This window comes from Homo sapiens, chromosome 14 (genome assembly GCF_000001405.40).
Source record: "Homo sapiens chromosome 14, GRCh38.p14 Primary Assembly".
Taxonomy (NCBI): domain Eukaryota; kingdom Metazoa; phylum Chordata; class Mammalia; order Primates; family Hominidae; genus Homo; species Homo sapiens.
In genome coordinates this window covers 106,035,950-106,048,767 of record NC_000014.9, presented here as the reverse complement: position 1 = coordinate 106,048,767, position 12,818 = coordinate 106,035,950, and the positions used below count along the sequence as shown (strand labels likewise).

Below are 12,818 nucleotides of genomic sequence, written 5' to 3'. Positions count from 1 at the left end.
TCTTCAACTTCCTAGCCTTGAGAATTCAGAAAACAATGTTTATGATATTTCTGAGCCACCCATTTAATGGAGTTCTGTTATAGCAGCTGAAACAGACTAAACCATTTACCAAGTCTCAGTAAGGGCAGTGAGGGTCCACCATGCTTGAGAGACAAGCATTACTCTCTCATTTGCAGCTCAGGATGACAGAAGCATGATCACGAGCTGATCTGAAAAGAAGATGTGGCTTTCTCTCCCTCAGATCTCAGTTGAAGCCATGGTGTCACATCTCTATGGTGGAGACTAAATTCCAGTCTGTGATGTAATGGATGCCTGCCTCCTCCCACCCTCACTTACGAGACAGAGTTTCCATGCCATGCGTTATTGACCAAGAACCAAGAAGGACTCCAATTATTCTCACCCCTGCTCACTTGTATGGCAGAGGTTCTGGGGATATTCCTGGGAGAGGCATAATGAGACTATTTAAGTCCACGATTCCCAAACAGTTTTATGCTCTTAAAGCAGGAGTATCACTTTGAGATATATGAATAATTTCATGTGCACTAAGGTGGAGGCTGTTATATTTTTATAGGTAAAGATGCATGGCATAAAGACAGAGATACAGCACTCTGGAAATTGTGTGACTATATTTGCAGTTGACTGTGAATAATTTTTACCATGAAGTTATCCTAAAACACATAATATATTTTTACTGTAAGTAATTAATGAAAAGCTGACAGCTCCACAAGAGCAATATCCACTTGGTTTAGCAGAGAGAATGAGAAATAGCATAATTTAAGAATAATCAGTTAGACACTGTGCCATGTGCCTGTATTTTCAACTAGTGAGGATGCTAATGTGGGAAGATCACCCAAGCCCAGGATTTCAAGGCCAGCCTGCAAGATATTGCTAGACCCATTTTCTTAAAAAAAAAAAAATAACATTCTGGGTCATGACAAACCTCAAAAACTGACCCTCTAAATAGGAACAAATTTAATTGCATTAAAATGTGGATGAATTTTTGACACAAAACAGTGACAGCATGCCAGCAATGAGTACAGAATAACATCCAGTTGTTATGTTAAGAGATACAGACTCCGAAAAAGAGACATCAGGTAGAGGCTGTCAAAGGCCTCACTGCCTAATGACTGCTTTTCCATTGATACTGTGTGTATATCCCGGAATGCACCTGTGAATGAGGACATCATGTCTTTCATAGTGTGAGAGAAAGAGACATTACTACCCATCTGACAAAGGATTGATCAGAATATACCAGGATCTCAGACAACTCTATAGGAAAAATATCTAGTAATCCGAATAAAAAGCAGGCGATATTTATTTCTTAAAATAAGACTTTCAAATTGCAAACAGGCATATAAAATGTGCTGTGTAACACTGATCATCAGAACAATGCAAAACAAAACTACAGTGAAATATCATCTCATCTGATTTTAAAATGATTTCATCCAAAAGCCAGACAGAAACAAATGCTGGGAAGGATATGGAGAAATGAGAACACTCATAACCTGTTGGTGGGCACTTAAGTTAATAAAACCACTATGGAGAACAGTTTAGAGTTTCCTCAAAACCTAATAGTAGTGTTGTCATATAATCCAGCAATCCTGCTGCTGGCATGTACTCCCTCCCACAAAAAAAAAATGTTGTTTGCACTACCATGTTTGTTATAGCACTGTTCGTAATAGCCAAAATTTGAAAGCATCCTAACTGCCCATTAACAGATGATGGATAAATAAAATGTGGTACATATAGCATATGGATTAATATTATGCCATAAAGAGAATGAGATTTTTTCATTTGCAACAACGTGGATGAAACTGGAGTTCATTATATTAATTGAAATAATCCCAGAACCGAAAGACAAACTTCACATATTCTCATATATTTGTGGAAGTTAAAAATTAAGACAACTGAACTCGTGGAGATAGAGAGTGAAAGGATGGTCACCAGAGGCTGGGAAGGTCTATGGTAGATGGGGATTATTGGGGATGCTCAATGGATGAAAAAAGTGGTTAGAAATAACAAATAATACATAGTATTTGATAACACAACAGACTAAGTATAATCCTTAATAACATAATTATAGATTGTAAAATAACTAAAAGTGTATAAATGGAATGTTGGTAACTCAAAGAATTAATACTTGAAAGGATGTAGGAACCATTCATCATAATGTGAGTATTATGCAGTTCATGCTATATCAAAGTCAGGTACCCCATAAATATACACATATACCATTTACCCACAAAAATTCAAAATTAAAGTATTTATGTATCTCATCTTCTGTATCTATATTACATTAAACCTAAGAAGATACTGGTTTCTTCACACTACCAAGATCCACATAGACATCCGTAGCCTTCTTTCTTTGCCTGTCCATAATCTGACATTGAAAAATGAGGAAACCTTTCCTATCATATGACATTAATTTACTTAGTGCACAATTTCAAAATACACAAATTGTGTTAGAATTATTAAACTGACCCTTGTTGAAAATATGTTTATCGACTAGAATACCGTGCTTATATGCAGCTTATTTATATTTTACAATCACAACATCAAATTATTTCCAAAGATACTTGTTTCTGATATTCATGCCCCCCTTTCTGCAGTGAAATTAGTACAAACCTGTTTATCATTGTTAGATATTTTTATACAGCTTTCATTTTATTCTGTGTTTCATGACCAGCTAAATACTTTTGAAGTTGTATGCATTTAGGTTAACACTTTGTCTCAAAAAATTATGAGTTTTCACAAATTATTTATGCCATGTGTTTATCATTGAACACCATGAAAATAGTTTCATTGTGATTAAAAAGTGTGTGTTTCACCTAATCCACACACCTTTTCCCCAGATTCCTGGAAAACCACAAAGGTTTACTGGATCTATATTTTTGTCTTTGGCAAAATAGCCTGGCTATTCTCTTAGCTTCTTCTGCAAAGCATCAAGATTCACCTTCACTGACTGCAGCATTTATTGGGCCCTGATGGCTGGAGGAGAGGGGCTGGAGTGGGTGGTAGCCATGAGTGACCCAAGTGGAAGTTCTCAGTGGTGCTCTGCTCCAGCACAAAGAAGATTCACAGTTCCTGGGGACAACACTTAACATCACAATCTCCCTTAAAATTATCTACTGGAAAGCTGAGGAGTAGGCAGTGTATTACTGTGAGAGACACAGTGAGGGACATATGGGTGAGTCTAGACGCAAACTTCCCTGCAGGAAGACAAGAGGGGACTTTGTGGTAAATGGTGCTCAGAACCACTAGGGGACACTCAGAACCACTAGGAGACACTCAGGATAGCAGAAGGTGCTCAGGATGCCGCAGGGTGCTCAAAACACTAGGGGTGCTCAAGACCAGCAGGGGGCACTCAGGACACCAGGAGACACTTAGGACATCAGGGGGCGCTCAGGACACCAGGGGGCGCTCAGCACAAGCAGGGGCCACAGAATGACAAGGGTGCATTCCAGACCACCAGGAAACACTCAGGACCAACAAGAGATTCTCAGAAACCACCAGGTGTAACAGGACCACCTAAAGGCCCACAAGACAACCAGGAGACACTCATGGCCACTGAAGAACATTGAGGACACCAGGGGTTCAGGGCCAACAGGGAGTGCTCGGGGCCACCATGGGGCTTTCAGTAACCACGAGGGAATCAATCACTCAGGACACCACGGTTTTCTTAGGAGGCAGCTCCACATCAGGTGCCTGGGGAAGGTGACGTTTGCTTTTAGACCTAGCTGATTCCTGAGCTGGTCAAGCAAAAGTCTTCCCACGATCTCTCACTATTTCTTCCTTGTAACCCATGGTTTCTTTCACATACAAATCATTAACTTAGGATAGGAATTCAATTCAACTTTTAACCTTGCATATTTTTAGAATAATAATAGCAATAGTAATTCAATGTGTTTTGATAATAAGAAATTGTGTATGCCTAATTCAAACTCTGGTTCCACGCATGGGTTTTTGTTTCTTGTGCTGTGCCAGTCACACTACAGTCAATGCTTTTCTAATAATAACTCAACAATGTCACGGTGTTAAGTTTCCTTTCATTTTGTCTGCCATTTGTGGAGATGAAACACCACTTTCACGGGTCAGTTCCTCCACTTTGGTTGGGTTCTGGTCTTCTGCTCTTCACACTGTTTCTCCACCTTCCCTTCTGTCAAATCCTTTTGTCTTCCTCAGTCTCCTGGCAAAGAAGCAACAAATCTATTTATTTTGTCTCCTCCACGTCTGGTGAATCTGTTCACTTCTCTTCATGATCATTGAACCCAACCATGTTTAGAAGGATAACAGTTCACCTTACAATATGCTCATGTAGGTCAGGTGCAGTGGCTCACTCCTGTAATCCCAGCACTTTGGGAGGCCAAGACGGGTGGATCATCTGAGGTCGAGTTTGAGATCAGCGTGGCCAACATGGCAAAACCCTGTCTCTACTAAAAATAGAAAAATTAGCCAGGCATGGTGTCGGGCACCTGTAATCCCAGCTACTCGGGAGGCTGAGGCAGGAGAATCACTTGAACCCAGGGTGAGAGGCTGCAGTGAGCTGAGATAATGCCACTTAACTCCAGCCTGGGCGACAGAGAGAAACTCCATCTCAAAAAAAAAAGCATATGTTCATCTATCCGCAGACTCTCTGACATCGTCACCCTTTTCTAGGGTCCTGCAGACATCACCCCACAACATCCAGTCCTTTTCCTAAGTACCACAGAGTGGGCTCTGCAGCTCCTGCTGCTCTCTGTGTGCTCAGCGCTGAGGCTCACCAGTGCTTTGATGATGAAGTTCAAATCCCTAATGTGTTTGCAATTCTCAGACAACCCTCTAGCAAGCTGCCATTGTGAGTGCATTCTGGGGATCCTGGGCTGATTTCAGGTCCATATTGCTGGATGTTCTCTAGCATCCAGGCGTGTTGGCAAATAAACATCTAGAATTTGTATTGAAAATTTGTGGAAAATCAATGGTAGAAAACAATCCTAATTTCTAAATAAGAACATTTTATCCTGACTTTATAAAAACACAATGTTAATTTAACCAATAATGTAATAAAATGTGTTTAAAGTGATGTTTATCTTGTTATTAGATGTATTAATAATTGGTATTTTAAAGTATACTAACAGCATAAATGACAAACAAACCAACACAGCGATTATACATAAATACCATTGTACATTAATTAATTTGGCAAGAATGGCATTTATTTTCATTTCTACCAAACCTTGCCTTTAAATATGTTTGTTAATTGGCATTAGGATAGTGAAACAATCACACAGAGCAACAACATTTTGGAATATTACATTATACTATAAAATAGTACATTCGATTCAATTATATAATTAAAATAACATTAAATAAATTCATGTTTTGGTTTGATATTTGGATATGTGTTCATTTTTGTATTTTCTTTTTTTGTATCTTTTGTAGAGATGGGGTTTCACCATGTTGGACAGGCTGGTCTCGACTTCCTGACCTCAGGTGATTTATCGGGGGAACCCACCCCCAATATTTCAATGTAGGGTCTTTCTATTTTCTGTAAGTGTCGGCTGGTCTGAGAAATAAAGAGAAAGAGTACAAAGAAAGGAATGTTACAGCTGGGCCACCGGGGGTGACATCACATATTGATAGGTCCGTGATGCCCCCTGAGCCGCAACACCAGCAAGTTTTTATTAGGGATTTTAAAAGGAGAGGGGGTGTACGAACAGGGAGTAGGTCACAAAGATCACATGCTTTAAGGGGCAAAAAGCAGGGCAAAGATCACATATTCCTTCCCCAGGGTATTAATTACTAATATTCCTTGCTGGGAAAGAATTTAGTGATATCTTCCCTACTTGCACATCAGTTTATAAGCTCTCTGCAAGAAGAAAAATATGGCTCTATTCTGCCCGACCCCGCAGGCAGTCAGACCTTATGGTTATCTTCCCTTGTTTCCTAAAATCGCTGTTGTTCTGTTCTTTTTCAAGGTGCACTGATTTCATATTGTTCAAACACACATGTTTTACAATCAGATTTCATATTGTTCAAACACACATGTTTTACAATCAATTTGTACAGTTAATGCAATCATCACAGGGTCCTGAGGTGACTTACATCCTCAGCTTACAAAGATAACAGGATTATGAGATTAAAGAAATTATGAAAGTATTGATTTTGGGAACTGATAAATGTCCATATTAAAATGAAATCTTCACAATTTATGTTTAGAGATTCCAGTAAAGACAGGTGTAAGAAATTATAAAAGTATTAATTTTGGGAACTGATAAATGTCCATATTAAAATGCAATGCCTAGGGCCAACAAAGGAGTCATATTAATATGAAAAATAATAGCTGAATATTTTGGAAATGACACATGCAGTAACAAATGTCTATATGAAATTAAGAAGATATTGACACAAAATTGAGAAAAAATTAACATAATTATGCTCACTACTGGTTTATAAAATGCCTATAATAACACTTTTTAAATCATATTATAGAAAATAAAATAACTATATAAATAGCACTCTCTTTGCTTGATTTTAGTATTTGGTGCTTCAAATGTTTTTTATACAAATAAACATTGGTCATTTTTTGATGGTAATTTCAATATTTTCTTCCAGAATACATGTTCATAAATGTAATTGAAATTGTATAATTTTCAGAAACTTATTTTATCAGTTGTGACTTGTATTTTTATGATAGTCTTTTTACATTTATATACTTTTGATTCAGAATAATTATAGATAAAAAAATTATAAAGTTAATACAGTGTGTTCCCATCTCCAAGTATCTCCTAAGATGAATATCCTCTATCATCATAAGACATGGTGTTAACACATTTACATTGATAAGTGTAAATATATTCAATACCAGACCTTATTTTATTTATCATTTTTCCAATAATTTCTATTGTAAATGAAAAATAAAATTCTAAGCTTCCTCAAGCAACTAAATGAACTCAACCCTCAGCCAAGGGAATTTCAAAGTAAATTCTAAAACTTGTTCCAGCAATGATGGGAAAGTGAGAGGTCAGACATGCCTCATTACATGCTCCTCTCTTTGGAATTAAGGCACCAGTGGCCAGCATTAGTACTACAACAAAGATCTTAAGACGGGCAAAACTATATTTTTGCTGTAAACACTTTCTATAGCAAAAAGACATCAAATTACAACTTGATTCTAGTATAGCATCACATGACAAATAGCAAAACCTAATGATTTATTCTGTATGAAATCTGCTACCTGGAGGCTTCATCTACATAATAAGAACTATGATCTCCAGGACCCCTTATCTTAATCCAGACACTCAGTTGTAATGATTGTATTACCTTACATTTCAACCAATTGCCAATCAGAAAATCTTTGAATTCTCCTATGTCCTGGAACCCTGTGCATAAACTTTCCTGCCTTTCTAGACTGCATAAATGGTATAGCTCACATGTGTTGATTAATATCTGCCTGTAACTTCTGACCCACTAAAGTATATAAAATCAAGCTGTAATCAAGCCATTTTGGACATGTGTTCTCAGGAATTCCTGGGGTCGTGTCATGGGCCTTGGTAACTCATATATATCTCAGAATGAGCCATTTTAAATATTTCATAGTTTGTCCCTTTTAGTGGATATCTTCTTTTCTTTTTTTTGGGACAGAATCTCTCTTTGCTGTTGCTTTCGTATATTTGTTTGTTTCCAGATTCCATCAAGGCCATCAGTTTGAATTCAGTTGTCTTGTTCCTTTATTCTCTTCTGGTAAATGACAGTTTGTATTTCTGAAGTTTTCTAGTTGAATATTTTATAGATAAAAATTTATCAAGTAGGTTGATAGTGCCATTTGGGACTCTTATATCTTTACCTATTTAATCATTGCTTGTTTTCTCAATCACAATGAGTGTTGATTTCTCCATGTTCTATACATGTTAGTCTATTTTCTGTTCCAAATCCATTTATTAGGTCTTTTAAAATGGATTTTGGAAAAGTTGATCCTATTATTTTATGCAATATTTCACTTGAGTTGCAAAGGTATTCTTTTTATGATTATTTTGTCTGAAATTAACATAGCTATTCAAGTTTTCTTTGGTTTATATTTTCATGGTCTATATTTTTCCATCTTATTTCTTCTCTTTGTGAATATGTTAAGAAGTTTTCTTGGAGAAAGATAATTGCTGGGTCTTTTTTTTTTTTAGTCAACTATGAGGAATTATTTTTTAATGATATTACCCTTTTGTCCAATAATGGTTGTTTTGTCTTTTTACAATAATATGTATTGTTTCTATTAATTTATTATTTAATTATTATTGATGAATATCTTATTGGTTACCATAAGGATAACAATAAGACATTTCTATAATTGAATTCTAATTCAAAAATGTAGTACTTCTTTTTCTTTTTTATTTTTTTGAGACGGAGTCTCACTCTGTCGCCCAGGCTGGAGTGCAGTGGCACAATCTCAGATCACTGTAAGCTCTGCCTCCTGGGTTCTCGCCATTCTCCTGCCTCAGCCTCCCAAGTAGCTGGGACTACAGGCACCTGCCACCATGCCCGGATAATTTTTTGTATCTTTAGTAGAGACAGGCTTTCACCGTGTTAGCCAGGATGGTCTCTATCTTCTGACCTTGTGATCTGCCTGACCTGGCCTCCCAAAGTACTGGGATTACAGGCATGAGCCACCGTGCCCAGCCTACCCCTTTATATATAGAACAGAGATATTATAACTATATATGTCTAATTCCTCTTTTCTATCCCTTTTTTATTTTATCAGTTTGTAATTACATAAGCTATAAAAATGTAATATTGACATTTTTATAATTGCTTTACACATTTATGTAATAAAGAAAACACAAATGCAAAAACTAAATTTAAACCTCATTTTTTTCATTGTTGACAATCTTTATCTTTTGGATACATTCAGGTATTGGATGTATATCATATGGCTGCTCATCTAGAAACTCTGCTAAAACGTCTATGGCAAGATTAATATGCTGGGAATAGATTTTCTCAGGATTTGTTTGTCCGACAGAGTATTTATTTGTCTTTGATTTATCATCTCAAGAGACAATGTCAAGAAGATGCTGTTTCTGCAAATGGGCAATCTGCAAACCAAGGACACGTCACTACATTACTGTGCAAGAGAAGCACATGAGGAAAGGCCGGTGTGAGACACAAACCTCCAGGAACACCTGGGCTAATGAGCTGCAGGGGGTGCTCAGGACCCACTGATCAGTCAACCACAGAGGGGAGTGCAAAGGTTAGGACTGCTTTCCTGCAAGCATTGAAAAAAGAAGAAAAAAACTCCGTCTGACAGTTTCTCCAAGGAACTTCTGTAATTTTAGAATTCTGTGCCTACCAATGACATCTCCAAATATTTTTTTAAAATATTGTGTTTTGAGGACATACTCTCACATGGACAAAACACAAATTGACACAGAGATGAAAAGCCCTCAACCATAGTCACCAAAATTGGAGACATGTAGAAGCTCACTGGGACCTGTTGAGTCTTCTCCAATCACACTCAGAACAGAGACCTTAGTGGGTCTCCCTTAGAGTAGTCATTAAGGATGGTGATAACAGCCTAAAGATGGTAGACCATGGTCAGTGTCATATAGAATATGGGGACCCTCACAAGTTTTTTGTCTGACCCTTCTCCTGACACTAAATTATGCAAATTAATAACACTGATCTGGTGCTTCTTTTGATTCTAATTTATTTTATTTTTAGTTGTCGTTCTCACTTTTCCTTTGGATTTTCCTGCTCCCTGGAAAAGGTAAATGTGGTCTCCGTGACCTCAATTCAAGGGCTGAAGCCCTTTCCCTGTAGCTCAGCTGGGGCTCAGGCTGTGGCTACTGCAGCCATGTGGAAGAGGCTGAAGGGACTTTCTTCACTCTCCTTGCTCAGGACCATCCACTGTATTGTGTATAGGCTTCTCTGGAAATGCAAGTGGCCATTTGTAGTGAAAGAAATATGTTTGTCTGGTTAAAATGGGAGGTGGATGTAGAGTTAATTGGCTGCTACATAAACTGTCCTTCTCCACCAGTGCTTTTAGGATGAGATTGTGAAATTTGTAAGAATCAAAATGGAGTCACATATGTTAAAACCCTGACAAATGGATTCAGGAAGTGTAGGGAGAATTCTTACACACATATCCCTGACAACAAGAACTATCATAAAATAGTTCTTGCAAAAAGACCAACATGACCTCATAATCATGACTTCTGCAAAGACTTCTACTCAGAATCTACTTGCCCAGCCTTAGATTAATGCCATCTGAATTACACTGATCATGTTACTATCACTGCTCCTCACCACAGATGCAACACCCTCCTGAGTCCTGAAACCTGACTCCATCCCATAGAGTAGGGCACAGATGAGGGGAATGCAAATCTCCACCAGCTCCACCCTCCTCTGGGTTGAAAAAGCCGAGCACAGGTCCCAGCTCAGTGACTCCTGTGCCCCACCATGGACACACTTTGCTCCACGCTCCTGCTGCTGACCATCCCTTCATGTGAGTGCTGTGGTCAGGGACTCCTTCACGGGTGAAACATCAGTTTTCTTGTTTGTGGGCTTCATCTTCTTATGCTTTCTCCACAGGGGTCTTGTCCCAGATCACCTTGAAGGAGTCTGGTCCTACGCTGGTGAAACCCACACAGACCCTCACGCTGACCTGCACCTTCTCTGGGTTCTCACTCAGCACTAGTGGAGTGGGTGTGGGCTGGATCCGTCAGCCCCCAGGAAAGGCCCTGGAGTGGCTTGCACTCATTTATTGGGATGATGATAAGCGCTACAGCCCATCTCTGAAGAGCAGGCTCACCATCACCAAGGACACCTCCAAAAACCAGGTGGTCCTTACAATGACCAACATGGACCCTGTGGACACAGCCACATATTACTGTGCACACAGACCACAAAGACACAGCCCAGGGCACCTCCTGTACAAAAACCCAGGCTGCTTCTCATTGGTGCTCCCTCCCCACCTCTGCAGAACAGGAAAGTGCAGCTGAGATACGTTTTCCTGCCAGGGCCTGCATTTCCCATCCCCATTAGACTCAGAGCCCTGTCTTCCTCCTTCTTCTTTAATAATAAATGGCATGACTCCTGTTAATAGTTCATAGAAGCAGAAGCTGAGTCCTGTTTGTCAAACATTCAGCATGAAATGTTCATGTTACCTGGGCCAGATGCATCACTGGTATGTGGCCGCCAGTTTAATGGGCTCATACTACTCCAAGCGGCCGAATACAAAACAGCAGAACATATGCCTTTATTAAACTGCAGGAAATGACACTGGAGAAAAATGTGGGGATAAGGGAGCAGGAGGAATTGTGAAAATTCAGATAATAGCTTTTCTCGTAGAGAGAAAGGTGCGTTAATAAAATAATTTTATAAAACAATAAAACAGATGGAATGTGTCCCCATCACGGAGTGTCTCACAGTAACAGTGCAGAAATAAATTTCTAAAAATGTCGTAGGGTAGGTGTGATAGACAAGGCTTATTTCCACACAGGGAGCCCATAAATACCCATGTAATTAAAAATCCAGCTCTTAGAAAGGGAGTGCCTCAACTTGACATCAGAAACCCACGTCAGTGAGTCTGAGGAGCAATGTGGAAAAGAAATGGAAAATTCAACAATACCTTTCTTATGAAAATCCTAGCTCACGTTTCAACATGAAACATAACTGTCTACAATTTTAGGAAAACCATCCCATGGCAACAAGTCACTACACTCAAAAGGTACTGAGCTAACAGAGTTCCAGCAGTGAGCAGGTCAGTGCTGAAATCCCCGGAGAATCAAGGCTCTCAGGTACGTTGTACAAAACCCAGAACTGAGCCACACAATCTATGGTCAAGTGATCTTTGACAAAGTCAACAAAAATATGCACGGGGAAGAGGCCACGCTCTTCATGCCATGTTGCTGGGACAATTGGACTGCCATATGCAGAAGAATGAAACTGGACACCAACCTGTCGACATATACATAACCATAAGAAAATGGACTGAAGGCTTGATTATAGGACTTCAAAATATAAATGTACTCGAAGAAAACACCAGGAGAACTCCTCTGGACATTGGGCTTAGTAAATAATTTACCACAAAAACCTCAAAAGCACAAGCAATAACATCAAAAATAGATGAATGGAATTTAGTTAAACTAAAGAGCTTCCACACAGCAACAGAGTGAACAGACAAATTGCAGAATGCTAAAAAATATTTGCACACATTGCATCTGGCAGGGGACTGATAGGCAGAATTTACACGGAACTGAAACAACCCCACCACAACAACAGCTATGAAAAAACAAATAACCTCATTAAAAATTGGCAAAGGACACGAGTAGGAATTTTTTTAAAGAACACATATAACTGGACAAGTGCTAAACATCACTGATTATCAGGGATATGCAAATTAAAACTGCAAAGAGGTATCTTACACCAGTCAGAATGGCTACTATAAAAGAAGCAAAAATAGCAGACATCGGTGGCGATCAAAGGCAAAGGGAAGTCTCAGTCATTGTTGGTGAGGATGTAGATGAGCACAGCCTCTATGGAAAACAATGTGGAGATTTTTCAAAGAAATAAAAGCAGAACTACCTTTGATTCAATGACCCCACCATTGGGTAACTACCCAAAGGAAAAATAAATCATCATATCAGAATGATAACCAAACTTTTGTTTTCCTGCAGAACTATTCACAGTAGCATAGATATCAACCTAAGGAATTAACCTGTGTCTTACAACAGATAATTTTATTTAAAAAGTCACATATATATACAATTAAATACTATCCAGCCATATTAAGGAATGGAATCATGTATTTTGCAGCTACATGGATGGAACTCTGGGTCATTATTTTAAGTCTA

The 12,818-nt window shown here is 38.6% G+C and overlaps 2 pseudogenes, 1 gene segment (V, D, J or C) and 1 further gene; all 4 read left to right on the top strand.

The window, feature by feature from the left end:
* Positions 1 to 12,818, top strand: part of IGH (immunoglobulin heavy locus) — a 1,293,408-nt gene that overhangs the window by 831,077 nt on the left and 449,513 nt on the right.
* IGHVIII-5-2 (immunoglobulin heavy variable (III)-5-2 (pseudogene)) lies at positions 2,908 to 3,168 on the top strand (annotated as a pseudogene). The gene is given in 1 exon segment: positions 2,908 to 3,168. A coding segment is annotated over 1 exon segment (261 nt).
* On the top strand, positions 9,004 to 9,102 carry IGHVIII-5-1 (immunoglobulin heavy variable (III)-5-1 (pseudogene); annotated as a pseudogene). The gene is given in 1 exon segment: positions 9,004 to 9,102. A coding segment is annotated over 1 exon segment (99 nt).
* IGHV2-5 (immunoglobulin heavy variable 2-5) lies at positions 10,423 to 10,866 on the top strand. The segment is given in 2 exon segments: positions 10,423 to 10,468; positions 10,555 to 10,866. Coding segments are annotated over 2 exon segments (358 nt in total), but the record flags the coding sequence as incomplete, so codon positions are not given.